Here is a 21573-nt window from a genome sequence, read left to right on the forward strand (position 1 = left end):
GCACTCCAGTGTGAGTCACCACTGGCTGAGTCCCATGTGCTAAGGCTGGGGGAAAGCTGAGGTACCACCTTGGAGCATGTTCAGAGAGCAGGGATGGTGTGGAGAGGCCGGGAATTTGAATGCTTCTTGTTGGGTAATGTACTGCTGGAAGAATTCTGGGCATGAGTGATCATAATTCTATTACTTTATTAAGCCTCAAAGAAGCCTTTTTGTATGCATATGCTTATTATAAATAAATGAGTACAACTTTCTTTTAACTCTGAAAGTATCTGCTTGAAGCCAAAGCTGCTCAGATGCCATTCCTGGGGATTGAGAAATTCGTTTGATCAGAAGGTGGTCTATTTTTGCTAGAGAATATGGTGGCTTATAATTAGTTGGGATTCAAAGACTTAATGAGCATCAGACACATTTCTGTTAGTTAAGTAAAATATCAAAAATTGGCATAAATAAGCAACAGGATAAAATTTAATAATACTCTTTCCTTTGAAAAGACTTGAATGACCCAGACCACATTTCCTTTGGTTATTCTGAATCCTTGCATTTTAAGAGAACAAGGTATGGGGCACGGTGGAATACTGGTGTCTGTTTCCTCTGTTATGTGGATTGAGCTGTGCTGCTGTGTGTGGGCACAAGGGAGGCACCAAACTGATGAACCACAATTGAGCAATCTACCTATTTAAACCTGATCTTAGGACCTACAGTCAGTCAATCAGCAAGCATTTATTGAGTGTGTATGTACATACAGGCATGCTGGAGTTGACAGTGCCTGAGCGGAAACATGGAGTGGATGTAATGACTCCTTTACTGCAGGTCTTAAAGGGTGATTTTGTTTGGAATTCCCCAAGTCATTGTAGTAAAGTGTTTTGGATTCTAATGGTGCAAAGAATTTCTTCTGCTTTTCAAAAAGTTAGAAGAAAGCATAAGCCATGGTAAGGAGAGACAGCAGATATTTTTAAAAGGTCCAAATAGAACATCTAGAGATGAGCATCTGAGATGAGAAATGTACTGGATGGGATTGATGGAAGATGAGGCATTGCAGGAGAAAGGATTAGTGAACTTGAAGACATCACAATAGAAACAATCCAAAATGAGACACAGAAAGATAAAAGGTTGAAGAATAATGAACAGAGCATCAGTGAACTGTTGACATTAAACAACGACAACAAAATAGTATGTGTATAATGTTAGGAAACGCAAAACAGTAGACACCACTGCAGAATGAAAAGCGATGAATGGCCTCTCTCCCTAGTCTTCACCCCCATTCTTTCCCCAGTGATTATCATTGTTCCCAGTGCCTTGCAGTTCCTTGCAGGAAACTAAATATGCCAACGTCCATGTATTTGAGAGGCAGTCCACCCCAGGTTTGAGGAGAGTTGACCAAGAGGCAACAGTCAGATAGTTTTCTCCAGTTCTGTAGCTGTATAACTCCCTAAACCAATTTCCTTCTATAGCATCCAAGGAGTTTTGTGGAACATAATTGTGAGAAGAAAGGGCTCCATAGCGGAGAACATTTGGAAAACTTCTGGGTCAACAGAACCCAGGGGGCTTAGTTACTGTTGTCTAGGCAGAGCTCCGGACTCTGGTGGAGGAGAGAACAAGCAGTACTTCCCAACCTTCTTTGACCAAGGAACCCCTTCAAGGAAGGCTATGCCCTCTCATGACAGACTTTTGGAGAATGAGTGGCATCTACAGTGTGGTGCGTGTGAGCCTGAAGATGGGCAGCATGAGAGAGAGCACAGGTGCCCAGACCAGTTGAGAGCTGGCCAACAAAGAACCCAGACTGAGCAGTGTTGGAGGCTAAATCCACATACCAAGTGATGCCTCATGGAGCTGAGCATCGGTTTAAGAGTTGGTTAATTAAAAACAAAAAGTTTCCTTGGGGGAAGGTGGTGACTCAGCAGCAGTTAAAGTTAGTTACAGAAAAAGGAAAGGTGAAGTGTAAAGAGGCAGGCTCTGCCCCTTGTGGTCAGCAGAAGCAGGAGGATGTGGGGGCCCATTTCCACAAGTGTGACAGTAGCAAGAACAGAAGGCATGCTTGTTACCTGTGTGGTCCTGTTCACGTGTCTTATGTTTTCTGAGCCCCAGCACCATCATCTGCCCCAAGGGGATTATAACCTGTTACTAATATCTTTTGAACACTTACTCTGGCCAGTCATTCTCTACGTGCTTGACAGGAAGTAACTGATTTCTTCTTACAACAAACCCAGAAGTATGCTTTTTGAGAAAACTGAGAGACACAGAGAGGTTAAGTCATTTAGCCAAGGTCACCCAGCTTATAAATGGCAGTGATGAGAATCAAATTCGGAGATTATTTTCTGCCATACCCATCTGGGATGTTGCAAAGGTGAAAAAAACAAACACGGATCTATCGGATCTATGGCACAGATAAAGTGATCCCTAAAATGTTAGGGCTTTCCTTCCTGTAAATAATAATTTTATGGAACACTTAATGAAGGTATTACTTGAATAAATATTTTACAGCTCTAATAGCATGTAATATTTCTTGAGTACTCACTATGTGCTGGGAAGTGTGCAAACCTTTTGCATGTTTTATCCTAAGCTCACAGCAACCCTAGGTTGGCACATTAATTATCCTGTTTTTTTTTTAAATAGGTGAGGAAATTCAGGCAGAGGGTGAGTTTGAGTTTCGTATCCAAAGTCACACAATTAGTGACTGATGGAGCTGAGGAGGCATCATGATTTCTGTCAAAGACCAGAGACTGTTACAAATTGATTAAAATTCTGAATCACACATCTTCCCAAAGAGTGAATTCATCTGGGAGGAAATAGGGAAATAGGAAAAAAAATTGGAGATATATAATCATGGAGCAACAGATATGGGGCAGTGGTTCTCCATTGCTGGGCAACACATCATCTGCAGAATTAGTGGCTTAAAACAATAACAGTTTATTCCTCATTATTCTGTGGGTTGGCCAGGTCGTTTCTCTTCTGGTTTTACTTGGCCCACTCCTGTAGCTGCATTTAGTTGTAGGGTTGGGAGCTCCAAACTGGTCTCACTCTCAGGTCTGGCAGTTGGCGCTGGCTGTTGGCTGGGGCCTGCGTTCTCCTCATGTGATCATCATCTTCTAGTAGACTCCACTGGACTTCTTCATAGCATGATGAGCTCAGGGTCCAAGAAGACAAGACTGGAAGCTGTCAGGTCTCGTAAGCTCCCAAATTCACATATCACTTTCACATATGCTATTGGTCAAAGCAAGTCACAAGGACAGCCTGGCTTCAGGAAGATGGAGAAATATCATTTTTGGAGGGAAGAATTGGGAAAGTCACATTACTAAGACACATAGACATTGGGAGCCATTATTATAACCATCTACCATGATAGATTAGGGACAAAAGGCAGCCAGGAAGAGAATGGTATTTGCATAGAAAGAACAGGAAGTATTTGTTTCCATTTATATCTTTTGATACTAACTCAAAGGATACCAAAACACCTCATTATAAATCTGAATAATGAAAAAGAGTTGTTTGGGGAGTGATGATAAAGGAAACTCAAGCTTTTGTTGTTTTATCACTGTAGGATGATTCATTTTATAAGTTAAGAAAAAGTTGAAGATTAATGAGACCATATCCATGAAGTATTTAGAGCTCCTTGTAAGGAGAGAACTACATCAATATTAGAGTAATCATCAAACAGCTATCAAAATGTCATTTAAGAGAAGACAGGTACTATTTCCCACTTGGAGGAATTATCTTCTGATTTTCAGGGACCTTCCAGCCTGGATTTGTGTTGATTCACTTTGCCCACTTCTCTTGACAAGGAGTAGAGTGAGAGCTTTTGCAAGTTTAGCATTTACAAGTGGCTTTGTACTAGGGAAGGACTTGAGCCCCTCTTCCCAAGGAGCGAGGGGTCAGTGTGTATGGAAGGCTCTATCTCTGGTGCGGCCCCTCTCCCTGTCCTTGAAAACGGGTGGCGAGGCAAGCTGAGCAGAGGGAATCCCTTCTGAGGGTGAGGAAGGACCCTTGACAAGCAGTAGCTGCCCTTTCATCACAGGGGCAGCCAGCCAGAGCACTGGGGGTCTTCCTTGACTGAGTCGGACTTGGGGAAATGCACATTTTACTGGAATTGAAACCCACACAGATCTCAGTTCTACACTTACCTGGAAGGTCTCTTCTGTGAGCTCCAAGCCATGAGGGAGGGGGATTCCTGTAGGGCAGCTGAGGACCTGCGGTGAAAGCTGTTTTGTGATCTGATGTGGCCTATATCCCTAGTCCCTTCAAGAGAAACATGCCTTTTTCTGGGCCGGGTGTGGTGGCTCACGCCTGTAATCCCAGCACTTTGGGAGGCAGAGGCGGGCACATCACAAGGTCAGGAGATCGAGACCATCCTGGCCAACATAGTGAAACCTCAACTCTACTAAAAATACAAAAATTAGCTGGGTGTGGTGGCATGTGCCTGTAAGCCCAGCTACTGGGGAGGCTGAGGCAGGAGAATCGCTTGAACTAGGGAGTTGGAGATTGCAGTGAGCCGTGATCACGCCACTGCACTCCAGCCTGGCGACAGAGTGAGACTCCATCTCAAAAAAAAAAAAAAAAAGAAAGATAGCTTTTCTTCCTGAAAATCATAAGGCATATCTTCCCAGAGGGCCAGTGTAATTTACATATCCATTAAATATTTGAGTGGCACCATGTGCTGGGCACTGTTCTGGGAATGGAGGCTCAGCCATGGGCAAGGTGGACACAATCTCTGCTCTCCTGGAGCTTCAAAGAGTGCTCTGGAAGGGGAGGGGGGCCCTGCAAAAGTTCTGAGCCTGGAGGAGTTTGGCAGATTCCAGTAGCAGAGGGATGGTAAGTTAGTAGGGACTGAGGACTCAGAGGTGGGCTGAAGTAGACCCATTAGCAGCCACTCATAGGTGCTGGGAAGAAATTTAGATTTTCTGCTCAGTGCGATGGAAGCTGTTAAAGAGTTTGAGGGTGAGCAGATATGATTCACATGTTTAAAAGGTCCTTCTAAGCTGTTGGGAAGGGAGGCAAGAGAATAATCTGGTAGTGAAGACACTTTTGGGTGAAGATAAGGCGGGAAGGAAGAGATGCAGGAGGCTCAGCTTGGTGAGATGGTGGCCTGGGCTAGGGTGATTACAAACCAAGAAAGTATCTCTTTTTTTTTTAGTAGATTGCAAATTCTGCACTCATTTCAACAGCATCACTAGAGTCTTCAAAGAAACTTGACCCTCATGATGGGCCACTTTGGGCTGTGGCTCCAGCCCCCAAGTCCTGCCACCTTATGGTAAGGGAGACGAGGTGAAGACTGACAAGCACTGTTGTGCAGAAACTATTGTGTTAGGACAAGTAGATATCCCTCTGGAAAAAGAAATAATGGGGGTATTTCTAAACTGTATATTTTATTCCATTAATCAGTCTCTTTTTATACCACTACCACATTGTTTATACTAGCTATGGCATGATAATATGTTTTAATATCTGCTAAGACTATTTGCCTCTTACAGCTCTTTTTTTTGAAAGTTTTCCTGGTTATTCTTGCCTATTTATTCATTTATTTATTTATTTTGAGACAGAGTCTCACTCTGTTGCCCAGGCTGGTGTGCACTGGCGCGATCTCCGCTTGCTGCAAGCGCCGCCTTCCGGGTTCATGCCATTCTCCTTCCTCAGCCCCCCGAGAAGCTGGGACTACCGGTGCCCGCCACCACACCCGGCTAATTTTTTTGTATTTTTAGTAGAGACAGGGTTTCACCGTGTTAGCCAGGATGGTCTCAATCTCCTGACCTCGTGATCCTCCCACCTCAGCCTCCCAAAACTTATTTATTTTATATTAAAATGATTTAAAAATGTTTCAGACCTACAAAAAGTATATGCAACACTTCAAGAAAGGAAAGAGAGATGTGTTGTAAACACCTATCTACCTACCACCCAGATTCTGAAATATCCCCAATATACTCTACAAACGCAGAGGAAGCCCCCATCCACCTCTCCTCAGTCACTACCCCCCCTTCCACCAGGGGTACCCACTGACTTTGACGTTTTGTATTTCCATGCATTTTATTCATGTTTAATGCCTGTGCATGTGAACCTAAGCAAAACAGCAATCCAGATGTTTATAAATTTTATATAAATGGTATTATGTGATATATGCTTTTTTCTGAATCATGTCCCCTTTCTTCTCCACTAAATAATATGTTTGAGAGATCCATCCATGTTGAGACAAGTTGCTCTAGTCCATTACTGCCAAAGCTTTATGGTATTTTGTTGTATGGAAATACCTCAATTTATTAATTTTCCTCTAGATGGGCATTTCCTGTTGAAAATTGATGTATGCAGTTTTTCACACTAACACTCTTGCATGTACCTCCTTTGTACATTTCTGAGAATTTCTCTTGGCTGTCTTGGGCATATTGCTGGGAATGGAATTGCTTGTTCATGGGATATGTACTTGTTCAGCTCTCCTATATAGAGCCAGACTGTTCTTTGGAGTAAGTGCACTTGTTTGTTTTTGTTTGAGCTTTAAAATTAGCTTGACTATTCCCTAATGAATGTATAAATAAATAACACTTTCATTGGGTTAAGTTTATGGATTAATTCAGGAAGAAATAAAATCTTTATGATGTTTAGAATTCTTAACCAAAAACATGGACCTTATCTTTTTTCTTCTTAAGTATATTTTCAAGTATTTTGTCTCTTTTGTTGCTATTATAAGTGGGGTTTTTCTCTTTCAATTTATCTTGTTTGTAATGATAAAAACCATTGCTTTCTATATATGACTTTAATAGCCTGCCTTTTTACCACCTAAGACAGATTGCCAGTTAATTGTCTTGGCTTTGTCACATGTATGATCATATTACCTACTAATGTTGACCATGCTTTCCTCCTTTCCAATTTATACATCTAATATCCTAGGCTAATTGTTTGCCTACTGTTCCCACAACAATGCTAAACAATCATAGTAAATGTGACATTTTAATCTTGTTCTTATATTTTTTTTAAGACAGGGTCTTACTGCGTCACCCAGGCGGGAGTGCAATGACATGATCTTGGCCTACTGCAACTTGCACCTGCCTCCTAGGCTCAAGCAATCCTCCTACCTCAGTCTCCAGAGTAGCTGAGACTATAGGCATGCGCCACCATGCCCAGCTAATTTTTGTATTTTTTGTAGAGACAGGGTTTCACTATGTTGCCCAGTCTCGTCTTGAACTCCTGAGCTCAAGTGATCCACCTGCCTTGGCCTCCCAAAGTGCTGGGATTACAGGTGTGAGCCATTGCCCCTGGCCTATTCCTAATTTTTCCAGGAAAATTTCTGATGTTTTTCATTAAGCATTTTGAGTTTGAAGAAGATATATTTCACCAAAATAGAAAGTATCCATGTACTATTATTTTATTGTGAGTTTTAAAAAAATCAAGAATGGGTGTTAAATACTATTAGTTGCCTTTTTGATGTTCATTGAGACACCTGGATAATATTTTGAATTTATTAATATGGTTAATTATATAATAGATTCTCTATTGTCAAACCATCCTTGCCTTATAATAAATTTTACTTTGTCCTTCAGTGTTTTGTTAGATTCTCCACCAATAACTTACTTAGGACATTTGCATTGATATTCATAAGCAAGATGGATCCAAAGGTCTGTTTGAGGGTTGGGAAACTGTGTATGAAGCATCCTGGTAGGATCTGGGTGTTAGAGCCCTCCTTACAGCTTCAGCATTTACAGTAGGAACCAGTTTTCTTCTCTATAGTTCCGTCACACTATGCCATGTTAGATAGGAGGGAGTTTACTCAGATTCCTTGGGAATGACCATAGACTGCAGCCTCCTACTGTAGCTCATATCATTCTCTCTTTAGCCAGGCTTCTGTTCTTATAAGTGAGTTTTGGAGAACTGTGATGTAACTGTCTCAGCAGATCCTCTCCAAACTTTTGCTACTCCCATAGAAGTACTTTGCAGTTTTAAAGCAGGTTCTTTTTCAGAGTTGAATTTATAAAGGAGCTACTTGGATGTGAGAATGTACTTTTCCACAGAAAGGATGTTCTAAGTGGTAGTTGAGCTGCTTCCTCAACATGGCCTTGGAGCCTATTTATTGCTTAATGTCCTTGCCAGGGGTGTGGGCATGACAATACCAGCCACAGCTACCCACTAGTTGTCACAGTTCTTGAGACAGGAACATGGGCTTAGTTCCATGCTTAGACCCCAGAAATCCATCTTTCCTGACTTTGGCCCGGCAAAAGGGCCTTCACCTCCAAAAGGGCAGTTGTTTCTGAGGGATTCCCAGGCTGGGATGCATACTTGCAGCAGGGGTACCAATAACAGGTTAACTCTGTCTTAAGAAGAGGTTCCCAACTCTATTTGCGTGAGAAAAGAGAACTATGAACATTTGCACAGGAGAAAGTAACTGCCCATCAATCACTCCCTAGGTGACCCCTCAGGGGAACAAAGAGCAGTTGGTGTTTAAAGTCAAGTGTTTGTAAGTTAGGGGTTTCCAGAAAATGGGATCTCTCTTGGTAGGAGTCTTTTCTTTTTCTTTTTCTTCCTGATGGACAAATTAGGCTCCATTTTTATTTCTTTTCTGACTCTAGACATCTCTGTAGGTCTCTATTCTCTGGCTTTCCCTAGGCCCTTCCTTTTTATTCTCACTTTTCCCAATTGGCCACCACTCTGCCCTCCCCTCCCTCCCTCTATCCTAACTCTTGGTGTGTAATTTGTTTGCAGTCAGGTTGTTTCTTTGATTTACGGGGCCTCTTCTCGGCAGAATTATAATAAATGGATTGCTTTGCTGAGCCCCAGCTAGTTCAACACCATTTGCTCGGACTGGGTCAAGCCCCTTGCAAACAGAGGATGCATCCTGCACAGAGGCACATGCTCACACACACGGTATCAGCCCTCTGCATCTTTCTCTAGCCAAATATAATGAAAAATCTCCTCATCCATCTGAGAACCAATTCAGTTACAAGAATGTAAGAAGAGATATCCCCAGTACGGTCCACCTCCCTGTAATATGGCCCTGGGTGCTGATGGTCCCAGGGGGTGTAGACATTGTTCTGAATACAGACTTAATTAGTTGCATAATTAGCAAATGTAAGCCTATAAAACCTTTTTTGTTTGTTTGTTTGCATCTGGAATGCTCCTAAAGACTGAAAACCTAAACTATGTTAACTGAAATGAGGAATGAACAAATCTGTTCACGGGTCGCTCTGCCTGGAACACTTCAGTGGTTTCCTTTTGCTCTGAGAATAAAGTGGAAAAAACAAGCAAACAAATCATAAATCCAAACAAAGAACAACCTTAATGTGGCCTGCAAGGTCCAGCCTGCCTGATCTCCCACCCCTCTCTCCAGTGCAAGCACATACTCTCCCTCCCACACCCCCTACACTCACATGCCCACCTCAAGAGCCTTGCACTTGCTCGGAAGTGAGGGATCCCAGGGTTGCCTCAAGGGCTCTGGACTTGCCCTTGCCTCTGTCTGACAAGTCCTACCCAGTACCAGCCTCCTCGCCATCATCAGGCTCCTTCTGCTCATCCCTCTAGTCTCAGCCTTGAGGCTGATTCTTCTAGGAAATATTTTCATCCTTATGTCAAACCAGGGCCCCCATTATCTGTTCCATGCATATGCTGTCGTATTGTGTCAGCTAAGGCATTTGGGTAACTCCTTGCAGGATACCTGCCTGTCTGTCCCTCCAGACCGTAAACTGTGTGGGAGTTGGGGTCCTACCTATTATGTTCTGAATTTCATCCACAGACCTAGCAGAGTGCCTCACAGAGCAGGTGCCTGTGGCCAAACTGTGGACCCAACTGAGCAAATGAAGGCAGGAATGAATGCCAAAGACAACAGTATCTTTCTTCCCTAAGGAGCGCTCTTAAATTTGCTTCCTCTGTTTTTCATCCTTATTCCACACCTCTTTTATTCCAATGTGCATGGCAGTTCTTCCTCCCCACTTACCAAGCTGAGCCTGTTTGGCTTCTTCCTACCAAAGCAGGGATTCTAAGCTGAAAAGAGCACCATCCCGTCTTCCAAGGATCCTTGCAGCCCAGCACGTGTGGGGCTCCTAATATTCCTGGAACTGAGTTGGTGACTTCATCTTGAGGTGCCTTGGGACACAGAGACACTTCCCTGGATGTCCCCTTTTCACCACTTCGGAGTTCAGCATGGTGTGGCTTGTGAAAAGAGGACTTGGACTGGCCATGAAGCTCAGGTCACCCCTCTCTTGGGCCTCAGTTTTCTTATCTAAGGCTCCTTGTAATCCTATGACTTGAACTTTCTGGAGGAAAAATGCAAAGGTGAAAGTTTTACAGCCTAGAAACCTTCTAAGAGGTTGTTTAAACCTTGCCTCAGCCTCCAGGACAGGTTGCACCTCGTGTGCCCATTTCTTCTCTGAAAGCCTGTGTTCTCTGTATTGTCCTTCTCCCTGTCTAAACACTGTTTATAAAGCCCAGATTGTTGGTTTGATTTTCCTGGGTTCTGACAAGTGAAAGAGGGCTCTGGAAGAACAATGGGGAGGTTCAGTTCAGAGCAAGGGCTCTGATATAGCAGACCAGCCAGCCTCAGTACCCAGACTCTCTGCTGTGCGCTTTTCAACATCACTACTTAGTTGGGTGTTTCATGAATACACCTGACATAGAAGGTAGGATTTTCTCTGCGTCCTCCTCGTGGTCACCTCTGATCTGCAGAAACACATTGAAGAGCCAAGTGCTTTGTTCCGGGAAAACATCTCCTTCTGTTGGTTTTATTCCCCTAACTGGTGTTTTTCTGTGGTTTCTCTTTTCTCTTCTTTCCTGGGAATGAAGTACTGTGGCTGTTATGCCAGAGCCTATTCTTTTCTTGTTTGAGTTCAACAAATCTCCAGCATCTGAAAGGAGTGGCTGCCTCCAGCCTTGGGCTTCTGCATTGAAACAGGCTTTTCACTCTCTCATGCACAACCAAATCTTCTACTTTAATAATCACTTTCCTCTCTTCTGGAGATTTGCAGTTTAAAAGATGTGATTTATACAAAATTAATGCAAAATAGGAGTCTACATTAGGAGAACCCCAGTGCCCTCTGCTTTTCCCTGCTTCCTTTCCACTGCATTGAGGGCCACCTTGCTCTTTCCAGCTCAGCTTGGCCCCAGCAGTTGACACCCACAGAGATCCACACCGTCTTGATCTTGTCTTCTCATTCTTTATTTGCTGGCTCACCAGATAATCTGTGAGTGTAACATTTTTCCCAGTCACAGAGAGTCAGGATCCAGATGGACACAGGGGTGGTCTTGGTGTCCTGTGCAGAAGGAGTGTGTAGGAGAGTGAGTGGCTATCCTTCCAACATCACGCAGAGAGAAGATGAGCTGGGAGAGAATCATCTCTGTTACCAATGCATTTTTTCCACAAGGAAAATAAGAAAGCCACAGCTTTGAAGTGGAAATTTTCCAGGCTTGGATGAAGCTAAAAATTAAAATATGGTGCTAGGACCTTTTACGTGCAGATACAGAATCTGAAAACATGCACTTTTCCAGTTAAAAATGCTCAAATATCTTCCCAGCACTCATGTAAGCAAAAGTGAATTCTGTATTTATAAGCTCTAAGAGGAAAAGCCACCCGAATGTTAAGCAGGGCAGCTTAAATTTCTATTCAAGTTTCAACTGCTAGAGAAAGTGGGCTGATAACAGAAGAGCGAGCCAGGTTTATCTTCTGCATTTTGAAAAGGATGGACAGGGTGAAGGAGTTTATGCAATTCAAATCCAAATTGAAATGAGCATGGGTCCCTTCATAAGGCTGTCCTCTACTTTTCCCTTTAGTTACAGCAAAATGTCCCAATTTCTGTAGCCTTTGCCAACCCATCTCTGGACTGGCAAACAGGCTTGAAGATGAGTTAGGGGCTGGGGAGAAGCAAGGAACTAGAATATTTCCTTTGACTCCCTCTTTAGTTTTCTTCACACATCTGCCAGCAGGGAGGTGTAGCCTTCCTAGGATCAATGGGGAGATGAAGAAATAGAAGCATTTTACAGGTACACCAGGACACATATTGTGGCATGTTGAGGCCAGGGGCTAAGCTCTAACTAAGATGCCACCTAGATCACCGAGACCTCCAGCTGCTCACGGGCCCATAAGCTCCTTCGTGCCCTCCCTGCAGAAGTCATCTCAGACCTGTTGAGCTGTATTTGACTTGAGTCTTCTGGCTGCTGAGCTTGTTCTTTACCAGTTTTCCTTGGCCTTGGCTGCCCTCTTCCATAATCTGGTGCACTGGATGTGGATTGCCTCATCAGCACAAGGGGGACAATCACAGAACCTGTCTCATAAGCTTATTGAGGATTAACAGAAACACTGAGACCATGCCTGGCACACGGTGAGCACCCAATAATGGTTGCTCTTGTTGTCGTGAATATTACTGTTATTATTCAGACAGTGATTATTTCCACCCCCACTGATGTGTTGTTGCTGACCTTTCTCTTTGTGGAGTGACCTGATGATTTCCTCTGCCAAGGGCCTGCTCCTTCATCGATGGCCCCACTAAGCATGCTGGTCTCCACTGTAAATCTCAATGGCGCTAACCTTCTCCACACCCTGCTCTCTGCTCTGAAGCCTTGGCTCATCAGGGATAATTCCCTGAGGTGCCAGGTTCAGGGGGAAGCCCTGCTTGGGCAGATTTGCTGGAAAGCACCACAGGTTTGGTGGTGACAGAAACCGCAATCTGTATGCCGACTGCGGCTATTGTCGTCAGGCCCTGCCCAAGAGCCCTTGGGTGTCCAAGCGAGTGGAGGTTGGCGAAGGGTGAGCCTAGTGGCTCTGCCTCCTAATGGCGAGCAAGGGAGCTGGATGGGGGTCCCTCCTGGTGAGTGTCATGCTCCTTGCGTAATATCTGCCTGTCACCAGGGGGCTGTATGGAGTGTGGGCCTGGGCCACACAGGGCCCTGCAATGAGATGACTGATACTTGGAGGGTTTTTCTGAAAAGCAGAGGGCAGAGGTGATCCATGATTCTCTGCCACAATCAGAGTTAAGTCAGGGAACCTGGGGCCCAGCCCAGCCCTCTACCATATTTATTCCTGAAGGGCAGTTATCTTCTTGGTCAGCACATCATCTGTAGGGTTCTGGAAGAGTCCAACCTTATTTTGGCCTGGGGGGCCTTGAATGGCCACAGCATCTGTAAGGAAGGGATACCCCAATCCCAGATCCTTTCTAATCCTCTGGACTCAGACCTGAGTCTCCTGGCAATGTCATTCTTGGGTCAGGGGTGAGGGAGGGTGGGGAAAGGAGCAACTGCTGGTGGGCAAAGAAAGGGCCAGTGAAGGAGCGGCCCTGCAGGGACCCTCAGTGCAGGCCAGCAAAGCAGGGGTTGGTTACATCACACGCAGGCCTCTTAAGGCGCTCCTCACATCACAGGTGTGTTCGATCTTCTGGCACCATCTTTTCTTCTGCCCAGGATATTTTCTCCACGGGTCTTTTCAGGGCCACAGCTCATCCACAACTCAAGGTGGCATTTCCTCTGGGCAGCCTCCCCTGACCACCCACTTTGAAGTGGCCAGCCCCCGTCATTCCCTTGCACTGTTGATTGGCATGTTGAATGGATGATGGATGAATGGCCACTTCTCCCTTTGGGGCCTTTATTCCTCCTCACACACCCTCCTTCATCTTGGCTTGAAAACCCTAGGATTGTCTGTGAAAGAAAGACCGTGCCTGGTTGTGGACATCAGCCCAAGTGGGCTGTGTCTGCACTCCCTCCATGGGGAGAAACATCTTTCTGCTCTGACAGCTGGGGCTGTCAGTGCTGCGACAAAGGGTGGAGGTTAAAGCCCTTCCATGGTAGCTCTTCTTCCTACTGGGAGGAGCCCAAGCTGTATGTGGAGTGTAGCACCCCCCTGTGTTTCATCACTAAATAATCCTTAGGTTCCATGATGACTTGGGGCCTCTCTGATTAATCCCAGGAAGGCAAATAAATCAATGTTATCTCTTGGGCCAGCTGACATCGATTCCGGAGTCTGTGGGGTGGGCTGTGGTGAGAGGGACCTTACCCTAGGTGGATGAGTGTGCCTGGGAAGGCAGTTGGGGGGTGACTGCACATGGGCCAAGCGTTTTGTGATCCCAGCGAATCAACTTCATGGCCAGCCTCCTATAAGTTACACTTTTATATTCATCTCATCACTCCAAATATCATTCCTATAAATGGATGTCATTAACAGTCCCATTTTCAGATGAAAAAAAATCACTTGATCATGATGACACCAAGTGCTGCTCATGGCAGGATGGGGCTGAGAAGCTGAGTGTGTAGGATTTCCAGCCCAGTCTCCACTGACTCCTCTTCATCTAAAGGAGGAGAGCCTGACCTCCTTTTTCTGACCCTGTCATCTAAAATCCAAGCCCTATCGAATGGCACTGATTCAGCTTCTCTCTGTACTTGGTGGCAGGCCAACCCCCATGCTCCCAACTCCCTGGAGACTCCAGACAAGTGACGGTAGAGTCTGCACGCTAGCAGGTGATACAGGGCTTCGGCACAATCTGTAGTCTGGAAGCAATTTTGTGTTTTCTAGGCACCCATCTGTGAGAGGAGAGCAATGTCTGTACAGGGTCTGTTTGCTTATGGAGGAAACAACTGCTGCTCAGGAGTGGGAATGTCTGCCCTGTCACGTGTGTCATTTCGTTTTCAAGCAGAGGAGTTCCAGGGATCCTCAGGACATGGATCCAGCCTTCAGGGGAGCTCAGCTTTCAGGCCTTGGGAAGCACCTTGACATTTTCCTTCCACATTGGAATGAAGTTTGTGCAGTGCTGGGTGTGCTGTGGACCAGCCTGGAGCTCAGGCCTACCCTGGAACTCTGACTCTAGGCAGTCTTCAGAAGACCTCTGCAGCCTCCACTTGGAGGGCAGGGAGTGGGGGTGGAGGGCACTGTCGGGGAGGCATGGTCTGGAGGATGTCATGTGTCAGTTCTTGATTGTCTCCCAATAGATGAGGAAAACATCCCTACTTATCACTTTCTATTTTCTTATTTTCCCAGTGTGCTGGACTGTGGGGTGGAGGAGGAGACATGGATTCATGGGCTTTTCACACCATTTGAGGGTTGACAGGGCAATTCCCAGGAGTAGTTAGGAACAGAAAAGACACCTTAGACCCCTGATGCATGAAGTTCATCATCATCATCATCTTTACCATCCTTCTCAGCTGCAGGGCTTCAGGGATTGTGGAGTGTTTTTGCTAGCTCTTCTAGGTAGGGAGTGAGATTGGTCCTGAGATTGGCCTGCGATGTTCCTTTACTCTCCTCATTGCACAAAGATTCTACACTGGGCAGCTTGTTGACCCCCCAAAACACCCAGATCTTGCATGCTTCAGTGCCTTCGCCCTGCTGTTTCTTCTGCCTAGAATGACCTTCCATGCTTCTTTGACTAGCACATTCCTACTCAAGCGCTAAGCCTCAACTCAAGCTCCCTCATTTCTCCTTCACTTCCCAAAAGGCAGAATAAATATCTTTCTAAATATAGTGTTTATCACATCCTAAAGTTGATATCTTCCTTATTTTCAACCACTCAAAACACACTCTTAGACTTGAAGCTTCTGTTTTTGTTTGTTTGTTTTGTTTTGTTTTGTTTGTTTTATTTGGAAGAGACAGGGTCTCACTCTGTCACCAGGCTTGACTGCAATGGCATGATCATAGCTCACTGCAGCCTTGAACTCCTGGGCTCAAGCCATCCTCCTGCTTCAGCCTCCCAAATATCTGGGACTACAGGCACATGCTACCATGCCTGGAGGAGCTTCTCCAGGAAAAGGGCTTTCCAGGTGGGGGCACAGCAAGGGTATAACAGAGAGTCATGACTATACCTGGTGAGTTTGCAAGGTAGTAGACTGATGGACCCAGAGATTTGTTCCAGGCTGGGAGTTGTAGGACATGGACTATGGAGGTCATTGTGTCTATGGTGATTAAACCACTGTAGGAGAATGGACTTTGGGGCTAGATAAGACTCTGGTTAGAAGCGGGCTCTGGTTGCAGTATATACTGAGGCTTTGGATTCTTGAGCCTTGGTTTCTCCTTCTATAGAAATGTGACAATAGGGCCTGTCTCATAGGCTGCTGGGGAGTCATGGCAGGCAAAGGCCACAGTTGTGCTCAGACATGATGACTGTCATGGAGATTGTTCTGGCTGAGAAGCCATGGCCCTTGGAAGCAGGAATCTTACCTTTTACATCTTTAGGTCTCCTAGTGGTCCCAGCAAAGTGCCTGTGCTTGCTGGCTGCTCATTTTTTATTTTTATTTTTTTTGTAGTAGTAATAGCTGAATAGAGATAACCTAAAAAGGATTTGGAACCAGGAATAAATAGAATAAAATGGTAGTCAAGGAATAAGACTGGTGGTGTGTGGGTAGGGCAGCTTAGAGGGTGGGTGGAGAGGTAGAATCTTGGTCCTGAGAAATCAGGATATTTTAAGTACACATCTAAAATAACATGGACTTCAGGCCTCCAGGATGTCATGACTCCTCTTCCTCCTGCCCTCCTGCCTGGGTTAACGGGGCCCAGTGAGGAGGTAGACCTGGCAGAGAGATGGGAAAAAGCATGTGAGGACATAAGAGCAAGTGTGTGTGGTGTGCATTTGTGTGTGGCCATGGGTGTATGTAGGTGTGAGGAGGACCTGGGTGCATGTGTGTGTGTGAGCACAGGTGTATGTAGGTGTGAGGGGGCATGGGTGTGTACATGGTGTGCATTTGTGTGTTGGTACAGGTGGATGTAGTTGTGAGAGGCACATGGGTGTGTGTTGGAGGGTGTTGTGTGCATACATTGTGTTGGAAGGTCTCAATGGACCAACAGACACATTTATGTCCTCACATAGCATACAGTTGCATGGGGAAGAATGATGTTAATGAAATTGTTAGTTGCAAATGTGGTGACTGGTCTGATGAAAAATTAGGGGACTCTAAGAATTCATACAGTACCTAATTTAATTCACACTTGGGGCTTGGGATGTGGAACTTCTTTTTAAAAAAAAAACTTTTTAAATCTTATTATAATTTTATTGAGCATAGTTTAAATATTTTTACATTAATATGTACATATTTTCTTTCTTTAACATAACCACAATATTATTATCACATCTAAAATAATTAACACTAATTCTTTAGTGTTATCAAATACCCAGTCAGTGTTTAGATTTTCCTGTGTGTCTCATAAAAGTTTTACAGTTGGTTTATTTAAATCAGGATCTAAACAAAATCTACACGTAACACTTGGTTGATTTGTCTCTTAAAAGACTCCTTAGGCTCCTTCGCCCTTCTTATTTTTTCTTATTTTTCATTTAATTTATTTGTTGGATAAACCAGGCTACATGTCCTATAGCATTTCCCAGGGTCTGGGTTTTGCTGATTGTATCCCCATGGTGTTGTTTCCTGGTTCCTTGGTTCCCTGGACATCCTGCAAACTGAGAGTTACACCTGGAGGCTTGGGCAGGTTTGGGCCCAGTTTGGTTTCCCCACAGGCTTCTCACCTGCTGGCTTGGCAGCCACTGGTGGCCCATATGGGAAAGGCATCTCACTGAGTGCAGCCTCTAAGCTACAGCCAGCAGGGCAAGAAGAGTCATCCAGGGGAAAGGAATGGTGGCGTTCAAGGCAAAGGAAGCCATGGGTGCAGCTTGGGCATGAGAGAGGATGGGGGTGGAACTGAGGGCAATTCTGGGGAGCTGTGTGGGTGGCCAGGGAGAACTGCAGGAGGCAGAGACAGAGCAAAGCTGTAGAAATGTGGACTACTCCCTCAGCCTCTGTATCTTCATCTGTCAAGTGAACGCAGTACCTGTAACTACCTCTTAAAGGGGTTGTGGATGTTAAAAGAGTGGATGTGACATATTCAGCACCAGTGACTGGCCAATAGGAAAGGAGCAATACTTGTTATTTGTGATGCTGATGACAGTGACAATGTGGAGGAGGAGGGAAAGGGAGCTTGTACTTTTCTCTGAGATCCATGGGCAGCTATTGAAAGCTTTTGCATAAGGGACAGATATAATCAAATTTGCATTTATAGAAGTCCGACCTGTCTGTGAGATGAAGAGTGAATTTGGGAGGTGCAAGAAAGGGGGCGAGACAGTAGTTAGGGGCTGATGCAGGTGCCTAGGAGAGAGGGGGCTGTGGCTGTATGGGAGCAATGTCAGTGGATATAGAGATAGATGGAATTATTGGGAGATATTCAGAGAGGAAGGACAGAGAAGAAGTGATAGAAAAGTGGATGAGAGAGGGGAGCCAGGAGTCCAGGAGGGTGTACAAGTTTTTGGCTTGAGTCACTGGCAGGAGGAAGGTGCCACCCAGTGAGATGGGAAGTGGTCTCCAAAACTCCAGGATCCCAGACCAAGCATCAGTCCCAAGACTTTTATATTTATGTATATAGTGAATGTGTGCATGTGCTACTGTGCTAATGCATTTTGTGCATTTTAATATATGCAATAAAAGGAAATTATTTAAAAATCAGATAAAGATGAAATAAACAATATTTTAACAGATCTTGCTATGATTAAAATGGCTTCTTCATCTCATTAGCTGGTACAGCAGGCAGAATAAACACTCAGGGTAAGGTTCATCATTAATGATAGTGGAAGTATAACTGTATTTCATATAGCCTTCTTGATTATTTGATATTTTTGCCAATTTCTTGTCATATCTGATTAGATTATCCTAGTTTTTAGCTCTTCGTGTGGCTGATGAAGAGCTATTACTGGGAGTAGGGTGAGTGTCAGCAGCCTCAGGCTCTTGGGCTTTATTTATGCTTTAAGGTATCAGAGTGGTTCGACTTGAGTATCTTTTGCAGCAATTTTGAAAGCCACTTATTCCATCTCTATAACGGTTAGTTTAGTCTAAACCAGATAATGTGGCCTGGAAATGCTCTTCACCAGGCATCTGTAAATTGCCATATTCCATGCAGATAATGAACATGGAGTTAGGGCACCCTGGCCACCCTTCCGCAGGTTGCCCTTGCAGGCTTTTCAGGACACATGGTCCTGACTATGGCCCAAGTTGAGGGTACTAGGTCCCATTTGTATATTCGGTATTACTAAAACTTATGTTTCTCTCATCTTATTTGATGTATTAAAAATAAATAGAAATAAAAGTGCGGGCACTCCACTTGGAGCTCTGGGTGGCTCCGTGCCAAGCTGGGGACAACAAAGAGCTTATCTGGAGGTCGTTGGAAGGAGCAGGGCTCTGAGAGCCTGCTCAGGGCTCCAGTCTGGGCTCCTGCATTCCAGGCATCCCCTGAAGCTTTAGGGTAGCTCCTACTGGTGCTGGCAAAACAAGGGTGAGTGTATGGAATGAGAGAGGCTGACTCTTCACATCCAACCTCTCTGGCCTCTTCAGCAGTGTGCCCAGGAGAGAAGCCTCAGCTTGCCTCAAGGCCTAGGATGTGCTGACGTGCACAGTGAGCACCGGCACTTTTAGCAGCATCATTTGTCATTAAAATGAATTTGCTTGGGATCGCTGCTGCCCTTTCTGAGAATCTCCTTCTCAGAAGGTCCTTGGGGCTGGAAGTTTGGGGTCCTTTCACTGTCCACTCATGTATACTTCCCTTCCACCCAGCCTGGACTGTGTACGCCTGGACCAGGTTTTATTCTAGGGATGGGAATGATGGGGCCTTGGTAAATGGAGGGACCAAAGGTAAGAATTCTATCAAAGGTAAGAATTAGGTAATAGATTAACCAGACAGAGTTGGAAGGAAAGATTTGTGAAGTTATTAAAAATTGCTTGGTGTTCTAAAGCTGGTTATTATTCCATTGTTGCTAATTCTGGGTCCCAGTGAATCCACAGGAGAGAAGTTTCACTGTGACCCCACCGCAGCCAGATGTGCCCACGAAGGAAAAAGCCTGAAGGCATTTCAGGCCCTAATTGGTTGTTTCTGTAATGTTTTTCATTGATTGTGCAGCGGCAGTGCAAGCAGCTGCCCAGGGAGCAGAGCAGGCAAGCACCGGGGGCCTTTTCAGGAGGGTGTGTCTACCTGTCATGAGGCTGTCTGCTGCTGGCCTAGGAGATCTCCAAGCCCTTTTGGATCCCCCAGCCCTGGAAAGGAGGCTGGCTCCAGGTGGGAGAAGAGGTAGCACTCTTGCCCAATTAGGAGCCTGTAGCTCCCAGGCTTTCCTCCTCTGAGTGAACATTTCTTTCTGAGGCTGGATTCTGCCCTCTGATTATCGCAACACATCGCCTGTTTGCTTTTTCTTGGTTTAACTCCCACACTAATTTTGTGCATGAATGAGTACAGTGAAACCAGTTTAATTTGCTGTTAATTCTCTGTTCAAAATATTCTCTTCTGTTTAAGGGACATAGTCGCTTTCATCTCTGAGGCAGCGTGTGAAAGCAGGCAGCTGCTAGGGTGGTGGAGGGGTGCCTGCGAGTGGGTGTCAGCCTGGGCCAGTGTGTCTGTGGTCTGTGGTCTGTGGTGGGGGGTGGCAGGTAAGCACCATGGGGGTGGACATTTCTCAGAAGCAACAACCCACAGTTTTTGGGGCTTTACACTTGCTGAGCCAGCGGATGGTTTGACTCTGCATGGGAAAAAGTTCATAGCTGGGAGAAATACCTCCTCACCAAGGGGCTATGGCTGAGAGATTTTGGCACACACACTGAGTAGCTAGTCTCTTGGAGATCACGAGTATGGGATGGGGAAGTGAATTCTACAGCTGATCACAGATAGTCAGGGAAGACATCTGACTGTCATTTAGGAAACACAAACTTTAAACATTCCTTCAAAGTGTCTAAATATAGTGTTTATACAATTTGTTCAAGCTTAGTTGGTGAAAGAGATCTGTTTTTGACAAAATGTTCTTGTTTGGGTCTGCTATGCCTAGCTCTTTTACTTCTCTGCTTTAACCAGGGGCCTTTTAGGGGAGCGGGCTTTGCACCAGGTGGCAGAGTGCCCAGTCACAGGACTGCACTTGGAGAGACAAATGATCTCTACAGGAGCTGAAACTGTAAAACAAAAGTAATGGGGCATGATTCCACAGCACTGGTCACCATGAGTCAGCCCCTGAGACCATGTGGGAGTGGTTGTGGCTGTGGGTGAGGGTCCTGCTTCACTCCCCAATAGCTGCATCAGTACCCACCTCCAGTGCAGTGTTTCTTTAGAATACTCTTGTAAGTTGCAGGTAGAGAAGATTGGATGGACACTGGGGATCAGCCTTCCTCCACTTTCCTCTTTGGAGCTATCCAAAGTGCTGGCTGAGGGGGCCCCAGGAGCCTCTCTCTGAAGCCGACATATTTTCTCTGTGAGTTTCCACATGCTGCTGGCCTACCAAACTGATTGTGGAGTGTGCGCACTGCAGCCACTCCCCGCCACACCTTCCACACATTTCTCTTGTCACTTTCCGCATGTCAGGCATTTCTCTTGTCATTCCCGGCATTACTGACTGCCCAGCATTGCCAACCAGGGGGCAGGGCAAGCATTCTGCTTTGGGAAGCACATGTGGTTTATCCATCAGCCCAGCACATCTGTAGGGACCACCCGCTGGGAAAAGGTGCAATGGAGTGGAAGCCTAAGGAAAAGAGGAAGAGCAAAGGCAGCAGGTGGTGAGGTGGTTTTACAAGGGCCAGTCAGTGTGGCCTGTGGAGTACACCACACTTCTGGCCTCCTCTTTTCCTGTGCTGAGGTCTGGCCAAATCTGGACTGACTCTTGGCTTATGTTTCCTCTTGGTGCTGAC

General features: G+C 45.3%; 1 protein-coding gene across 1 annotated transcript in view, besides 1 other annotated feature; it reads left to right on the forward strand.

Moving 5' to 3' along the window:
* The window catches only part of EPHB1 (EPH receptor B1), a 465208-nt gene that overhangs the window by 88909 nt on the left and 354726 nt on the right, over positions 1 to 21573 (forward strand). The window lies entirely within an intron of this gene.
* Positions 7974 to 8613: an enhancer, noted in NCBI's record as "OCT4-NANOG hESC enhancer chr3:134610984-134611623 (GRCh37/hg19 assembly coordinates)". NCBI's record gives its function as "activates a minimal SCP1, AML or CMV promoter by ChIP-STARR-seq in primed H9 embryonic stem cells {active_cell/tissue: H9 hESC(primed)}" and the evidence as "EXISTENCE:reporter gene assay evidence [ECO:0000049][PMID:30033119]".

Source organism: Homo sapiens, chromosome 3 (assembly GCF_000001405.40).
Source record: "Homo sapiens chromosome 3, GRCh38.p14 Primary Assembly".
NCBI classification, from domain to species: Eukaryota; Metazoa; Chordata; class Mammalia; order Primates; family Hominidae; genus Homo; species Homo sapiens.